The 18340-nt window shown below is 35.2% G+C and overlaps 1 long non-coding RNA gene across 1 annotated transcript in view, besides 1 other annotated feature; it reads right to left on the reverse strand.

The window, feature by feature from the left end:
- The window catches only part of LOC105379083 (uncharacterized), a 55405-nt gene extending 37986 nt beyond the window's left edge, over nucleotides 1-17419 (reverse strand). Inside the window, exon 1 of the long non-coding RNA XR_007058869.1 lies at nucleotides 17301-17419. This is a non-coding gene — a long non-coding RNA (uncharacterized LOC105379083). The remainder of the gene's footprint in view (nucleotides 1-17300) is intronic.
- Nucleotides 16590-17877: an enhancer, noted in NCBI's record as "VISTA enhancer hs1170". NCBI's record gives its function as "enhancer in: eye[8/8]" and the evidence as "EXISTENCE:transgenic organism evidence [ECO:0001131][PMID:17130149]".

Consider the following 18340-nt stretch of genomic DNA (forward strand, 5'->3'; position numbering starts at 1 on the left):
CCTAATATTTTTATTAAGCAAAAGTAAGAAAAGGATAAATTATAATTATTTGTACATATTATATAATGTATAATAAACATAATTATACTTGGTACTACTTCTTTGTCACCTTTTAGATCAGAATAATCATGTATATTGTGTCTACATTGCCACAAAATGCAATGTTAGTAGAATTTAAGTTCATAAACAATAGCTAGTGACTAAAATCATATCTCAATTAGAGTCTATGTTAGGAGAGAAAAATTATAGCTGCTAATCTCAAGCTAAATTTTTCAGGTTCTCTTGATGTTTATTCACAAGATAAGTGATTTGGTGAAATAGTACAGTTTTATTCCTTTGTTGAAGGTGGTAGAGAATAACCATGTTACACTGCTTCTCAGGCTGGGTTCCCAGAGAGCAGAGCCTGACATTGAGAGCACACAGCCTAATATATTACAGGAAGAAGAATCCTCACAGCAGGAGTGGGGAAGAAGCAGGTAGGCAGGGAAGGAGAGGGAGCCAGTACCAAGATGCCACAACGTGTTTGAAGTTGAGCACTGCTAAGTGCAACTAATTGCTCCAGCTCCCTAGAAGCTGTATATCCAACCTCTCAGAACAAGCTGTCAGAGGAGGAAAAAGGAGGAAGAACTTTTCCACCAGCTCCTCCTTTCTATGGGTTAAAATATCACCCTACTAACTCCCTACACACTTGTGAGTTGCATATGCAGAGACTCCAAGCACGAAGCTCATCATGTGGTGCTCTGCTCTTGACAGTCAACACCTGTGTAGAAGGTGAGTGACCCAGAGGGGCACCAAGTGGGTGCTGTCAGATTGCACCTGCATGAAGTCATTCAGAGCCTACTCAATCGTAGCTGCTGCAGCGGGGGTAGGACAAGGGAGGTGACACCAATGGTATCTGAAGTGGTGCCACCAGTCGTCTGATCCTGAGCATGAATTCCAAAACAGACAAAATTTATTATACGATCAGAATGATTTATGAAAATTAAAACAACCTTCATTAATTACTCTACAATCAAAATTTTTGCCAAGAATTTTTCTTTGATATAAGAAATATAAACACAGTAATGTAAAATTATTAAATGTTACATTAAATTTACACATTGCTTACTCACTCAATAAATAATCTGGGTTTTGTCTTAACCATGCTATATGCCAGAATTTCAATACATTTAATACTGTAATTCACTGATCCTGGTGCCCCTTCAGGTCTCTCATGTCCCTCATGTCCTCCTCCCTTCCCACCTTGGATTCGGTGGTCCATCCTTATAATTATTCACTTGCCTATAACAACTCCTTCACCCTCCTCTCTGGGGTGTTATGAGTCAGAAGAAATCAGAAGAGAACTTCAACAATTCTCACAGCCACATCCTCATACCTTCCTGTGGCTTCACTCCTGGGACTGTTCTTATGAGGGTCCAGCTTTTCCACCTCTTCCCATTTTCCCTGGTTCTATGTCATCTTCTTTACTGAGACATTGCTCCAGCATTTGACTTCTCTTCCTCATCTATAATCAATTTTCTCTACTAGATTAGTATACAGTTTGCAGACATACAAGAATGTTCTGATCTTTACTTAAAGCCTCTCTTGACTACACTTCATCTAGTAGACCATAGCCAGCTAGCTAACAAATCCTTTCTCTACTCCCCTTGATGGAATCTCTCCTTATCTTTTTCTCCTCTCATTCTCCCTTGAACCTCCTCCCATATGGCCTTCATTCCCTCCTCTCCAGCTGACAAGCTTTCACTTGTCAGGATTGGTAATGGCCAGTTAGTAGACCTCATTCACTTCAACTTCAACAATGTAAGACACAGATGATCTCTTGCTCCTTCTAAGTTTTTATTTTTTTCACTTGGCTTCTGGGGCAACATTCCCTGTAAGTTTCCTTCCACTTCCCTATCTGTTCTTTCTCATTCTCTCCATTTATTCTTCATCTTCTCAACCTCTAAACTTTGGAGAGCCTCAGACTTCAATTTTGTGACTTCTTTTTTCTACATGTACTCAGGTTTTAGATAGCCTCATTCAGTTCCCGTGGCTGTAAATAACATCTATTCCCTGAAGTAATGTCTCCCAGATGTAATGTCTCCAGTCTTCATCTCTCCCCTGAATTCCAGACGCAGGAACATCCAGCTGCCTGCATGACTTTTCTAAGTGTCTAAAAAGCATCTTAAACTTAAATTCTTGATTCCCTCTCCTTTACTCCACGACAAAAATCCAGCTCTTCCCATTGTCTTCTCTATCTCTGAAAATACTTTTGCAAGACAAAAATCTCATAGTTATTATTGTTTGTCTCCCCTCTTTAAATCTCATATATGATCTATCAGCAAACTATATGTGCTCAACTTTCAAAATATAACCAGAAATACAACATTGCACTACTCTCATGCTACTATCCTCATGTAAATGGTCATCATTGCCCAGCTGGATGATTGCAGTAGCCTCCTAACTTAGCTCCCTACTTTCCACATATGCCACCCACCCACCCCCAGCCCCAACCCTTCTGTCTACTCTGTGATTCTTTTCAAATGCAAATCAGATCATGGAACTACTCTGTTCAGACCCTTCCAGTGACTGGTCCTCTCACTCAGAGTGAAAACCATCATCACCTCCAAGTCCTTCAATGTTATTGCCATCCATCCCTGCTCTCATATTATTCCTTGTCACTTTCTCCCTCACTCATCCAGCACCAGCCATATTTGTCACATTGGCTTTTCTCTGGGCATGCCAAGCACACTCCTGCCTCAACAGTTTTCCCCTTATTCCCTTGGCCTCAGATAGACTTCCTCCAGACAGTCAGATGGCTTGGTCCTTCTCTTCCTTCAGGTCTCCACTCAAATGATACTTTTTAAGAACACCTCCTTAACCAAGCTCTATTACAACTTATCCTCTTGACCAGTTTTTCTTTTTCTCCACAGGGCTTAGTGTCACCTAACAGCTATTCATGTGCTTAATTACTCATTTCTTACCTTTCTGCCCTACTAGGATGTAAGCTCTACAAGGGCAGGAAATTTGTCTGCATTGTTTATTTCTATTTCCCTCATGACTAGCACGTGGGAGGTACTCAGTACACATTTGTTGAATGAATTAATAGCATCAACAGTTAAAAACAAAAGGGATACTCATTCATTAAATTTATTTAAAATTAGTTTGACTAAAATTAAAAACTTAAATTGACTCTGCATAAGAGAGAATTCTAAGTGGTTTGGGAAACCAAAATGGGTTTTATTTATAAATTTGGTAAGTGGATCTAACAGAAAATTAAATCCAATGTGTATTTTTCACTCTGATTCATTAAAATCCCAATTCAAACTTAATAGATGTGTGATTTTTCTCCAGCTACTTTAGTTACCAGTGTAAGAGCACAAAATGGAGAAGCACTTGGCGTTAAATAGGACAGGAATTTCTCGATGGTGGGAGAGAACCAGGGTGTTGATATATGCAACTGAGTGACTATAACGATAATATAACCTAGGAATATAATGTAGGAAAAGAGAGAAGGATGGTAAAGGGAAGGGCAGTAGAATCAGTGGATTCTAACATTAAATATTCCAGTTTATAGCATGGATAAATCAGAGGGCAAGTTTCTTAAAATGAATGTATAAACAATGTGTAAATTAATATTATCTCTGCTTACATTTCTATAAGCAGAATGAAAATCATTTTATTTAGTAATATAAGTTCATGAGGAAAGATGTTTACATTAATTTTGCAATACATAAATTTAAAAAGACGGTAAAGAAAATCAGTTTTACTTGACTGGAACCTAATTGTCAACCTTCAAATGATAAAACATAGCTCATTAACATTGAATTAAACTTAAAAAGAATATCTGGAGCTTTCTTTACTGAAGATCTTTACATTTAGACAGTCTCATCATTGAAATTGTTCTGCAAGAGCCTCATTATAATGAAGTTCCAACGGAGACTATTATTATCTTTTTATTGCAGTGTTGTATTAGATAAAACCAGATGTTAATCTTCAGTGTTCAGGTTACACTCCACGTACAAACCCAGCCTAGTTCCCAGTGAGCAGGTGGCAGGCAAAGTCTACCCGAGGACAAGCACAGCTAACGCCTCAATCTTCATGAAGTTGATCACAGCGGATGACACATTCTTCCTAACGTGTAACTCTCATCATCACAACATAAAATGAGTTTTATCCCCTTTTTGTCATTTTCCTTCCAAGTATAATAGAATCTAAATCTAAATCTTAATTCCTCTTCAAAGTCAAACTGGATGTCATTCTTTCCCATACCCTGGGAAGCCCCGTTACGGCACTTTTTTTTATTTCTCAATCTCTAACCTTTTTATCTCTTTATCAGCTCCTTTCCATCTGCCTTTAAATCAACAGGAACTTGAAAAGCCATTTTAAATAAATCCTTGACCTCAGGATTTATTCCAATCGCTATTGTTTTTTCCTGTCTTCCTTTTGCCACTCTTGCGTGATCTCTACTCCCTGTTGCAATTTCCACAATCTCTTATAAAATGGTTTTCCTACCACAATATACTTAAAAATCTCTCCATCTGAGAACACATGTGCTCTCCCTCTCAGTAACTGGAGTGGCCTTTCCTCCATCCTCCTCTCATCCTGAGTTTCTCAACCACATATGGCCCTGGGGCTCCAGGCCTCCATACAGAAGCAGCACAGTTCCTTTAGTTAAGATTGCTCCTCCTCTCTTTCCTTCAGTGGCTCCTGTTACTCTCCTCATTTTATCTGTGGATGTTTTCTAAGCTCAGCCTCCTTTGCTAAACTCTTTTTTTCTGCTTGGAGAACATTTCTAAATGCACTCTAGCATGTCCAGAATAGGCTTCCTTTTTAACATTTACAGGCTTGAGGGATTTCACCTGGGTTATAAACTCATATTTCCATCCATCCACAGAACACCATTTTTGCAAATTTGGCCTGTTGAAAATGAAATTCATTTTTCTCTAATCCAGGCTGTCACTAAACCAACTCAATTTTAATACCAAAATTTGCTTCATTCTGCAGATTTAGCCTTAGAGTCATGTATCAATTCTCTTCCTTTTACCCCAGGACTCAACCTCTCATCAAGTTCTTTGAATTATTTGCAACAATAATAATGATGATAAGACTTACAGATGCAATGGCTTGAACACATTTCATTTTCCCCACTTCCACTACTCCCAACCTAATTAGGATCTACTGTAATGAAATTACTAATACAGTTTCCTCCCTTCCTTCAGTTTTCCTTCCTCACTCATTCACTTCCAATTCATTCTTCCAAAACAGCCAAATAAGTCTTTCGATTCTCACCATGGTTTTCAGATGCTCATCAGAATTTATGTAAACTATTAGCGGACCAGATATGCACATGTGTTTCAAATGTAGTCTAAGCACCACTAATGGCTTATTTTTCTTATAGATCGTGAATGAACCATTGACTGAAAAGACAGAAATGACCAGCTTTAAAGTTTTCTGGTACCTCCATACTGGTCAGGATAAGTTTGGATTAGGCTACAGTAGCAAACAATCCCAAAATCTCGCTGCTATCAAGCAAAAAGTTGTATTTTAGAGAACTTATATTCACTACAAGCTTGACATCCTCCCAGTACTTAAAAACTCTTCTGATGGGATCAGTGGTGCTATTAACAAATGCCACCTTTAGATATTGTCTAATGAAATGTGTCATCATTTTGGAAATCTGAAAATTCAGTAAACAAATATTTTTCAAATGATCAAAGTATGATGATCAAATAGTCAAAATCATGGGTGGGTAAAACGTTTATTCAAAGTACAAGGCAGGCCAGTGGATTTTAATGGTGCAGAGTACAAAAAGTTCATTAATGTCATTTTGGACTCTTCATTGAAACTGCACTTCAAGAAACTATCACTTGTCAAGTTAAAAGGAGAATGTGCATAATTCTCCAAAATGGATATTAAACTGTTCCTCCCTTTTTCATCTACATATCTGTGTAAAGCCAGATTTTCTTCATATACTTTAATCAAAACAGCATGTCACAACAAAATGAATACAGAGGCAGACATACAAATTCAGCTATCTTCTGTTAAGCCTGGCATTAAATTAGAGATTTGAAAAAGTGTAAACAGCAATGCCACCCTTCTCACTACATTTTAGAGGGAAGGGGTTGGAAAACATAGTTGTTTCTCATAAAATATATGTTATTATTTTAACATATATTGCTTTACTATTGTTTTGAAATTAACTACTGAATAATAATAATACTTTTCTCATTTATCTGTTTTAATCACTAATAAAATAATTATCAACAGATATAACTCACATAAACAAAAGCTCATTAGCATTGTCAATATTTCTTAATAATGTTACAGAATTCTGACACCAAAAAAATTTGAGAATCATTGGTCTAAGTCCCATCTTGATTTTCTTCCTTTCTTTTTGTTCCTGAGGTCATAGAGTCTCTTTTTGGTGCCTGAACTAAACATATTTCTGCTCATATAAAGTCTTTATTTATTTATTTGGTTATTTCATTTTTGTTTGTTTGTTTCCTCATGGTCCACTCACTTTATTAAGCCCTATATTAATCCAAACAGTTTTTCTATTAATTTTTCTGCTTTTGGGGTATACAGTGAAATCACTGGAAAATAATGAAAACTGAATCTTCTTTCTAAGATAAAGCTTTATTCCTATTCATTGGTGTTATTCGCTCCTACTGACAGAACAATATTAAGTAATAGCATGGTAACATTCATTTTCATCTTAATAGAAATATCTCCAGTGTTTCTCCAAAAAATAAGATGGCAGTAATTAATTGGTAATGCAAATGCTTCATGATGTGAAAAAAAAAGTATCTTTCTGGTCCCAGTTTAATAAGAATGTTATCAGAAAATATGTTAAATTTAATCAAATTCATTTTAGGTGTGGTGAACAGAATAACAGCCCCCATAGATGTCCGTGCCCTAATCCCCAAAACCTATGGATCTGTGACCTTACACAGCAAAAGGTATTTTACAGATGTGATTAAATTAAGAACCTTGATATGATATGGGGAGATTATCCTGAATCATCCTGATGAACTCAATGTAATCACAGTATTCTGATAAAAGGGAAGCAGGGGAGTCAGAGTCAGCATAGAAAATGTGGTGACAGAAGAAGAGATTGGAGGGATAAGAGGAAGGGGACACAAGCCAAGGCATGCAGATGGCCTCTGGAAGCTGGAAAAGCATAAAATAGATTCTCTCCTAGAGCCTCCAGAAGGAATGCGGTCCTATCCACCCCTTGATTTTAGGACTCCTGACCTCCAGAACTGTAAGATAAAAAATTTATGTTGTTTCAAGCCACTAGGTTTGTGATAATTTGTTTCAGCTGCAATAAGAAACTATTACATTAGGCATCACTCATATTGATCATATTACCTTTATTCTGCAATCTATGACATAAAGTTCCAATTAATATGTCAAGTAATCATGGGTTATTATTTTATTTGGTGATTAAAAACTAGTTTTGGTTATGGTGTTTTGTTATTTTAAAAAAGTTATGTGTTTTATTTTCTGTTATATATTTGCATCTGTGTAGTATAGTAATGAGATTAATCTATAGTTTTTACCTCTCTGCTAAATTTGTCATGTTTCGTTATTAAAACTCACTTGCTTCATAAAATTACTTGAAAGATGTTCTCTCCATATGCTCTCAACCAGCTTATGTACTACAGGAATTTTTAGTCATTGTAATTTTGAAAGCACAAAAGTTAAAACTTGAGTTTATGCCTTAATTTTTTTTCCAAAAAACATAAGCCTACCTATTTTTCCTTTTCTTTACAGACCAATTTTGATAACTTATGCCTTGTTAGAAGCTTATCTATTTTGTTGAGATTTGGAAAATTATTAGCATAGTTTGTACAATTCTCTTAAAGTATTTAAAATTTCTATTAATATATCCCCCTTATAAATTATAAACTACAGTCAGTTTTTCCTTTCTTTTGTTCTTCTTTGAATATGCCAGTTTTTCTATTAGTTATTATTCTAATAACTCTTTTTTGTTGTGTTTCCAAAAAATTAATTACCGACTAAACCACATTGTTCTTCCTGAGTTTCCTATGTTTGTTTTATTATGTTCAAACTTTTGAGTTAATATTAAATTACTTGATTTTCATTCTTTGTTGTTAAATAAACAAAGAACTCCAGGCTATAAATTTTCTTTAAAGCCATGACTTTGGAAACATCATAGAGGTTTTAATTTTTAAAATTATCCTTGTCTCTCTAAACACTCCATAGCTAAAGTCTGTACTATTACTTTAATCCAAGAACTCTTTAGCCAAGTGCTTTTTTTTTAATCCAAGTGGTATGAATTTTTTGTTTAGACTTGTGCAATTAGGTTTTAATTTCATTGCAATGCCATTAAAGAATATAATTTGTCCATTTTCTACTCCTTGTTATTAATTAAGATTGCATGTGATCACTTTTTATAAATGTTTTTTAGGCATTTGCAAAGAAAATATGGCTTTCATAGAGTACAGTACTTTTATACAACCACATACATATTTTATAAAATTTTTTAATATATATGTAACCATACATCACATATAAACAGAAATATAGATATAGATAAAATTATTATGTTAATTATATTTTTTCAAGTCCTTTCAGTCCACATTTATTTTTTTAGGCTTTCAATCTGTCAAAGACTAAGAATGGTGTATGATAAAGCATGCCATCATAACTGTGCTTCTGTCAGCCTCCCAATGTATTTTTAACAGTTTATGCTACGTATATTTTTCTTACCTTTTTAGTTACACAATGTTTCATGACTATTATATCTCTACTATGAATATTATTAGCGTTTGTCAATATAAAAACATCATGTTACATGCTTCTTGTTCTTGAATTCTATTTTATATTAAAACTATATTGCTACTGCTAATTTTTGTTCCTCTACTCTTTTCTGTTTTATTGGAAGCCTGTTATATCTTTGTCTATAATTTTATATTTAATATTCTCTTTCATGTTGTTTTTTCAGATGTGTTCCAAAATAAATATTTGGAGAAGTCCATTGCCAGCCTAAATTTTGTTCTGTATTAGTAACATAGTTTTCCTGCTAATATTTCTGAGATTTTTATTCTATTTTCAGAATGCAATAATTTTGCCAATAATACTTACTGAAATTAATATTGCCTACTAATATAATGTAATTCTATATTTTTAAAAATCAGTCTTTTGCTAGTGAATCTTCTTCTATTATATCATTGCTTATTACTTCTTCTTATCTATTCTCTCTTTATATATGTAGATTGGATCATATATCTCTGATCTTTGTATCACTAAAATTGTTGTATTATTTTTAATTATTCATACTTTTCCTGAATTGTAATATTTTCATCTTTTTTTATTTTGTTAATTTTTTCTTTCTGCTAATCTTTTCTTATCTTGAAGTTGTTAATCTAACAGTTGTGTTTTTTCATATCCACACAATACTCTTATCACAATTTTGTTTTATCTTCGTAGTTGCTTGTTAGGGTCTAATACATAAATATTTTTAAATCTCACTAGAAACATAAATCAGGAATTTTAGATTTCCTCATGTTTCTGAACACAGATTTACTACAGAGAATATATCCTCTATCCTCTGATTCTACAGAGAGTTCAGAGCTTTTGATCTTAAGTAACTGCCTATTACAGTTATTACCTGAGGTGGTAATCTGTTCAATATCAGCCTCTGAAGAAAAGAAAAGAGCCCAGTGTTGTGGTTTTATGATGATATGGCCATCCTTCACACAGCTGGATTCTTTTCTCAGAATCCTGAAAGATGAAATATATATATATATATACACACACACACACATACATATGGAAGACCTGAAAATAAGACCATGATAATAGAATCTTCAAAGGGATGGAAATAATATTGTCCAGAGCTAAAGAAAGACCATGCCTTTGGGTCTACCTAGGGCTCAACAGAAAGAATGAAAATATATACGTACACACACACATGCACACATACATATGCACTTCAAGACAAATTGTTGTAGAGTTTCAGAACTCCAAAGGAAGGAAAATCTTAACATTTCCTTGGAGAAATAAACAGGTGACATACAAAGGAATGAGATTCATTATATTTATATATATTTCTCAACGGCAACTTATTCTGAAAGACAATGGAGCAACACTTTGAAAGAATGGGAAGGATATTTATTTAAACCTGGAAATCTTGATTCAGCCACATTTGCAATCAATTATAAGGGGAAAATAATTACATATTCAGGAAAGTAAAGACTCAAAAAGCTTGCCATCCTCATATCCTTTCTAAAAATAACAATTTGAGAATGTTTTATTTTATACCAATGAAAAGCTCAATGAGATGAATTCTATAAATGATCAAAATTGCTTCAAGAAGTGGTAGAAAATCTGAGCAGAATAATTACTATAGGAGAAAGTTTTAAAGTTTATGCCTAAAAAGGCACCAGACTCAGATGATTTTATAGAAAAGTCTTAACAAACACTTCTCAGAACAGATTATCCCCAAGAGGATAGAAAATAGGAAAATGTGGATGCCTGCCCAGCATATTCTTCAAGGCTAGCATAATCCTGATACCAAAAATTGGACAAGGATAACACAATAAAATAAAATTGTAGTCCAATTTCACTTACTATAGTAAGTAAATTCAAGAATGATTAATAAGTTATTCCCACAGTCCAGCCACAAAATAAAATATTATCAAATAGGATTTATCGTAAAATTGAAAGGCTGATGTGACTTTAAAAAATGTATTACGGTAATTCAGCATAAGAAGTAGATTAAAGGAAGAAAATAATATAACTTCGATAGATGCCAAGAATGTTTAATAAAACTCACCCTTATTACTGATTTAAAGTGGTGATTAAATGCTCTGCCATCCTGGAATCCTATAAGTCCCAAGGAACTTGCAAAGTCCATTTTTATTGGATCATTGCCCATCAAGACTCCCAAAGATAGAGAGAACCACTACTGATTTTCGAAAGAAATTTGTTATTCTCTCACCAATGTATGTCTCAATGTTTCATTGAAGACAACGTTCTCTGGACCATCTTGGAAAACAATTAAAGTGAGCAGGTTATACATAATTGCAAGGCAACACTTATATCTAACCAATTATTTTTATCCCCTCCACTTTAAAACATTAAAGAATTTCTGTTATCTCAACTTGATTTAATGTAGGCCACCACAAAGAACAGATTTCAGTCAATCATCGGAGTGAGCTATTGGCACCCTTCTCTGCTATGTTGTGTATTTCTAAGTCCCATGTGCTTTGCTTCATGATCATTTGGTACCATCCCATGACTAGAAGGTAAACTCCATTGAGAGACCTGAATGATAGTATCTTTTTTGTTGTTGTTGTTTTTAGATGGATTCTTACTCTGTCACCCAGGCTAGAGTACAGTGACACTATCTCGTCTCACTGCAACCTCCGCTTCCCGGGTTCAAGCGATTCTCCTGCCTCAGCCTCCTGAGTAGCTGGGACTATAGGCACCTGCCACCATGCCCAACTAATTTTTTTTGTTTTTTAGTAGAGACAGGGTTTTACCATGTTGGCCAGGCTAGTCTTGAACTCCTGGCTTTAGACGATCCATCCGATTTGGCCTCCCAAAGTGCTGGGATTACAGGTGTGAGCTACCACACCCGGCCCAGAATAGCATCTTACACTTAAACTTATGCATCTCCTGTAACATTTTGAACAGTATCTTGTACATACCAGTGTTAATAATTTTTGTATTAACTTTGTAAAATATTTAATCCACACCTTAAAGAACATTGAAATTAAACCTTTATAACAGTTTTAAGAAATAACAGATATTTTAATCAAAATTTTTTATTTATTTAATTTTATTTTAATCCAATGGACAAATAGGGAGGCATTTGTTTTTCTCACTTAATTACAGTTTGAGCCCTGAGTCAACCTTTTCTCTGCACTTGGGACCTTCCCATTTTCTAGCAGGCTAAGTTCTTTGTCAGTGTACTGGTTGCTATGTAAGAGCCATAACATGTAAATTGAGATATAGAATGGAACCCTAGACACCTAGAAAAGCGAACACCTAATTCCTTACTATCCATAACTGGGAGCTTCATCACTAATATTGCGGAAAAGTACATTTTTCATTATCAGAAATAACAGACTAGATTTCTCCAGTACCTACTTGAGAAATAATACATTCGAGGATTTGTGGTGAAAATTAATGATCTTAGTAGTACTCTAGTGGCCTAAAATCCTTAATGAACATCCCTAAACACCTTACCTAATGCCAAGAAAAGGCAGGCACTGTGGGGAACAAAGAAGCCCATAATTACTTAGCTTTTTATTTAAATGATCTTGCAAATTGTTGAGTTTCTTCTGACACAATTTGGAGTGTAGACTTTTTTATTCCAGAACGTGTCTAAGTGTTAAGGACATCACATGTCCTAACACATGTGGTTGGAGGGTGGTGAATAATAAGTAGTTACAAAGTATCCCTGTGCCCAGTAACTCAAGTTCCATGGGAGAAATGAGTCTTTACTTTAGTGGAGCCGACTTGTCAGTGGCCACTCACACAGCTGTAGTCTATCAAATGTTAATAGAAGATTGTAATGAATATTTGAATAGGCTGGAGCTCTACAAGTAAGAAATGGCTGTGTATTCAGAGTCATTTTACAAACTGCAGCTAACTTCAGAAAATTAAGATTGCACATTCCTTCCTTCCATCTCATTTATTTTTTCAACTGTATTTTGAAGTCATAGGGTAGAATCTGAATCATACCACTAATGTCTCTTTGTTCTCGGTTCTACTGCTTTCACAGAAATGCTGTAGGCAGCCAACCAGAATGACTAATTTACTGGAGAAGTGATCAGAGTCCATTCAGTTGCCACTATAAAATAATTCAAGTAAGACAATGGTGACTGCTTGCACTCCATAGCAAAAATTTGTCCCAGAAACCACTTGATTCACCCCCAACATATTCATCCATGAAGTTAAAAGTCTCATCTAGAACATCCTGTTCATAATCAATTTGTTTTTCATATTATAAGTTAAGAAATGAAAATAGAAGGGATTTTTTAAAGGTAAAACAAAAACATTTTTCACATCACTCAACTACGTTTTGCTTTACAAAATTTAAATATTCTAAATACTATTTTTATTGTATTTAGAAGCAAAATTGCCTTACCTGAGCTAGTTTCAAAAGAGGTTCTTTGTTGTATTGCTCTAGCAGGTGTTAAATATTCAAGAACACATGAATATATACTGGGTTTGTCATTTTTAATCTCTTAAAAATGTTATTCACCAAGAGCATAATAATAAATACCAATAAACTTAGGCTCAGAATATAGTTATAATAGAATTACAAAGACTCTCATATTTGCCATTACTCCAAAAGGACTGAGTTACCCAGTTGCATGCACTTTCAATGGGTTCTGTCAGATAAACTGCATTTTACAACTCACTCACCACCAACTGAGATTTTCTTCGAGTATGTAACTACCAAACATTTTATACCTGATTTTATCCATTTTTAAATAGAGGGAGTTAAGTATTCAAACAGCTATTCAATATTTGGAATCACTGTTTCCCTATAGTTTTAAAGGTAAACAACTGGAATTAGATTATTATAAACAGTAATATTTGTCAAAACATTCAGTTTTGGAGTCAATCTTTCCAGAAAATTGCTACTCAAAACCAAATGAAATAAACAGATAATAAAAGAAGACCACAATATAGACAGAGATATAATAGAAAGATAAATAGACTAGAAATATAACAGAATGCAATGCTTCCAGTCTCAAAAATTGTAATATTGTTTATGCTCGCCCTCCCCTTAGTATAATAAATAGAGCCCATTCTTACAGGATAGGGATGGCTTACACAGAAAAATTGGTAGGACTCAGAAATGTCATGCAGAACATCAAAAGAATATAATTCCATAAATAGCCCTGTGCCCAGTCCCCACTTTCAGACTTATTTCTTACCTATTTTCATCTTCCTTATTCTTCGTAAAAATATTAAGCTATTTTTAATTCCCTAAACATGGCAGGCCTTCTCACATCTCCCTGTCTTTAGGAATAATGTTTTCTATTCCTTCCATCTGATAAATTCCTGTTTGACCATGTTTTTGCCCAAACATAACTTCCTCTGGGAACTTTTCTCTTACTGCCAAAGAAAGCCTGGATTCTCTTTCCTTTATGTTCCCTCCATGTATTATACAGCTACATTATGAGAAATGCTCTCATTTTATTCATTTTACCATAATTATGTACATATTTTCCTCCCCACTAATCACTTATTAAGCACCTTTTTTGAGATCAAGAATTATATCTGATTCCTAATATCTGTTACTGTGCCTGGCACATTATAGGTGATCAGTAGATTTTTTTAAGGAATCAACTGAGGGAATTAAAATAGCAAACTTAAAAATTCTGCCTGAAGTTTTATAAGGGATGTTTTGAAGTGGGAACTAAGGAAGTATATATTAACAACACTTTTATGAATGTTTCTAGGTGGGGAGTTCAAAATAGCAACTCTAGAGCTAATTAGAGTTGTCATGAAACTAAACTCAATAAAGGAAAATAATATGTAGATAGAAGAAAAGAGAGCTCAATTACTGATCTATAGGAGTTTACTTTTCACAAATTTTAGAGGTGAGGAAAGGAAGAAAAAGAGCGGACTACCAAGCGTTAAGAAAGGCAGGCATCATTCTCAGGAAACTAACACAGGAGGAGAAAACCAAACACCGCATGGTCTCACTCATAAGTGGGGGTTGAACAATGAGAACACATGGACACAGGGAGGGGAACAACACACACCAGGGCCTGTGGCGGGGGGTGGGCAAGGGAGGGAGAGTATTAAGACAAATACCTAATGCATGCGGGGCTTAAAACCTAGATAATGGGTTGATGGGTGCAGCCAACCGCCATGACACATGCATACCTATGTAACAAACCTGCACATTCTGCACACGTATCCCAGAACTTAAAATAAAAATAAAAATAAATTTTAAAAAAAAATTTTAAAAAAGAATAAAGGCAGGAATGAGACCTACTATTTGATAGCATAATAGGGTAACTATAGTCAATAATAACTTAATTGTATATTTTTAAATAAAGATATAATTGGTTCGTTTGTAACAATCTCTGCCTGTAATAAAGGTAGAAGACTGTGCTGGAAGCCAAGTGAAGTTTTTCCTGAGGGAGGAAATGGCCAACTCAGTGACATGCTGCTAAGAATGTGAGTAAAGTCAGTATAAAGTGTCCCTTGGACTGGGCAATACATAGGCTTTTGGTTATCTTGACAAGAGCAATTTGTTTTCAGTAGTGGGATGAAAGCCAGATCAGAGTAGGTTAGAGATTGAATGGGAGGTGAGGAAGTGGAGACAGCGCACAGTTAAGTAGTTGAGATATTTGGTTGAGAAAAGGGAGAGAGAAATGGAAAGGGGCTAGCTGAAAGGAATGTGGAGCCAAGAAAGAATTGTTTTTACCATGGAAGATATGAATGGCCCACTAGAAAAGGACAGATTGGCATTGTCGGAGAGAAGAGATAACTCCCAGAGAAAAGGCTGTAAGTATTTGAGAGGTGATGAGATCCAGAGCACAGGCAGGGGCTTGGCCATTGGTCCCAGGTTTGCTCTATCCGTTAACAAGGAAAGAACAGATACAGGTGTGAAAGCAAGCAGGTTCCCATGCATGACAGCAGGAAGATGAGAGCTAATTTCATCTCAAAACTCTTGGAGTTGTAATTAACACCATATTCTTTAACTCATGCCAAAAGGATATAGTTTACATCTGTGTCAGTCAGGATACGCTATGTATTGTAGTGGTAATAGACAATCCCAGATCTCAATGGCTAACAGTAACAAGAGTGTTTTTCCCATTCACACTGTTGTGCCTATCACAAATCAGCTATAACTTGACTCCACTTTGCCCTTTACCTGGAACTTTGCTGATGGTCATTCACTGGGAAAAGGGAATAATCCAACTATGCTTTTACTCTTCTGCCTGAAAGTGACATACCTCACTTCTGCTCATACTTCGCTGGCTAAACCACATCAAAATGGCATGCCTGAGTTAAATAGTGCAGGAATGTATAACCTTCCTACAGGAAGAGACATTGCAGAGGAGGAAAGCCGTGGGTGAAGAGTTACACAATCTATGACAAGTCCTATAAATAGTTCATTCATGTCTTTTAGTTAGTAAGTCTGAGGCAAAGCTAATATCCCAAGTCATGGATTTTTTTTTACTCCTGTGACTACCTATTCTCCACATCCATGCTTGCTAGACTAAAATGACTAACAATTACTCATGTATTCTAGAGCCTTCACTGAGCTATTACCATTAGCTAAGCTGTCATTCCAGCTGTAGCTCTAGTCTTCCCTTGGAAGACAGATGGTTACAGGTGGTTTCTGCCATTCAGTCATTGAATAAGTATTTACTATACACTAGCTCTATCGAGGTCAGTAAGATCCAGCCCTACTATAAAGGAAAGTATTATATTTTCCACATGTTTAATGGGTAAAATATACTCTTTATGATCTCATTCATGTGGTTGAATATCTCCTAGGTTTGAGAAAACTATTGGAAAACATTAAATGTGCAATATAGGTGTTGACCCGTAAATTGAATTATGCATTCACTATATCTTATGATTTTCTCTTTCTTGGAGAAGAAGTGCCTGTGAGAAGTTCTATCCTTTGGAATTGTGCCAGAATTGTGCCATTTTTACTCAAAACAACATAACAAGTGGAAAAAAATTAATCACTTTATTAATTAATTGGAAAACTGTGTGGGATAGACACATTGGGGGAACGCTATAAGATTGAGCCTTGCTCTGCTAAGGTTCAAAATGCAGAAAGATTATTTTAAGTTGTAGAATTTGGTAACAGACAAGAGAAAGAAAGCAAGGTGGAATTAGCTCATCTATAAATAAAGAAATATAAGACTTCCATAAGCCTTGCATAAATTTAAACACCCTCATTGATAATTGACCAGCATAGCAATAAGATAGCAGAATATTTTCTAGCAAATACAGTTTACCCTTTAAACAAAGTTCTTGGTGGTATTTTTCTATATTTAAAATGATTCCTGTCCAGGGCATATTGCTACTTTGTATTCCTCTTGATATTTTCATTTAAAAGAGAGCCGCTGTGCAAAATAATGTCCTTGTCTGTCCCTTCCTCATACAAACCTCCAATCAAATTTAATAAAGCTAGTTTGATACAATGCCAGCCTACACTTGGTTTACCCTTGGTCGACTTTAATAGGGTCAAAAATATTTTCGCATTGGCAGTGTACGCATTAATCATTTTTCCAGAAGATTTAGAAAATTGGAAGAGACAAGGCCAAGCAAAATTTTAAATTAATTGGGCCTACCCCAGCCTTCCAGGGTCACCTTGTGGCAGTTGTCCCACATTTTCCAGGTCACGGAGTTCCTGTGTTTCCTACAGCTGCCATGAGGAGAGATCCATGCTGTGGGCACACAAAGGTGAAAGAATTTCTCTCAGAAAGTGCGAATTTTCCTACGGCAACCACAACAATTGCAGTTTCCAGATTGTCGCCAGACACCAACCACTTAAATAATGCATGCTCGGCTGACGCCTCCACTTGTGCATTTTCTAATCGAGTAGTCAGGAAAATTTGCAAACACTCTGTCATTTACCATAAATCCACTGCCTACTCATAACTACAGAGTAATTAATTTTAGTGCTGCTCAGAATTATTAATTTCAGCCAGAAAAAATCTCTTTTCACAACTGCCATGTCCCCCATTTTATTTTCTTCCACCAATATTCATCAAAAAGGTTGAAACGGTTTTCTCATAGGAGAAAGCTTATTCAGAGTAATGTTATTGAGAGTCTAGTGTAATAGCAGTAACGGAATCTATATTTCTGGGTCTAATCCACAATCATGTGTCCAGAGTGTCCGGCTGACTCACCAGATGAAATTGGCAACATAAAATGAAGGCTTTTATGGAAGAAATGGTATAGTAGTCCGTAAAGCCTTACTATGTGATAGACAATCAACCTCAGAGTTTGGTTCTTCTAATATAAGGTAGTAATCATCTATACCCTCAGTTCAGAAAACACCTTCAGCCTTTTAAGAAAATTAGCAAATATTATTTTCCACTTGTTAAATAATCTTAGCATTTGACCAAAAAGAAAGTAAGAATCTTTATCAAGTTCAAAAATAACTTGTAGTGGAATACACAATTACGAATACACTGGAATAAAATTCTCAGCAATCACGTGTATATCTAACATACACAGAATGAAAATTGAGCATTAAATATGGTGCATTTTCTCTTGATAAAGCTAAATCGGGCACTCTCATTTGACATTAGTTCCCTGCTAAAGCAGCTGCATAATATGCCATAAGAATGTCCATATTATAAATAGGTAATGAGCATGAGAAAAT

This window comes from Homo sapiens, chromosome 5, assembly GCF_000001405.40.
Source record: "Homo sapiens chromosome 5, GRCh38.p14 Primary Assembly".
Lineage (NCBI taxonomy): Eukaryota > Metazoa > Chordata > Mammalia > Primates > Hominidae > Homo > Homo sapiens.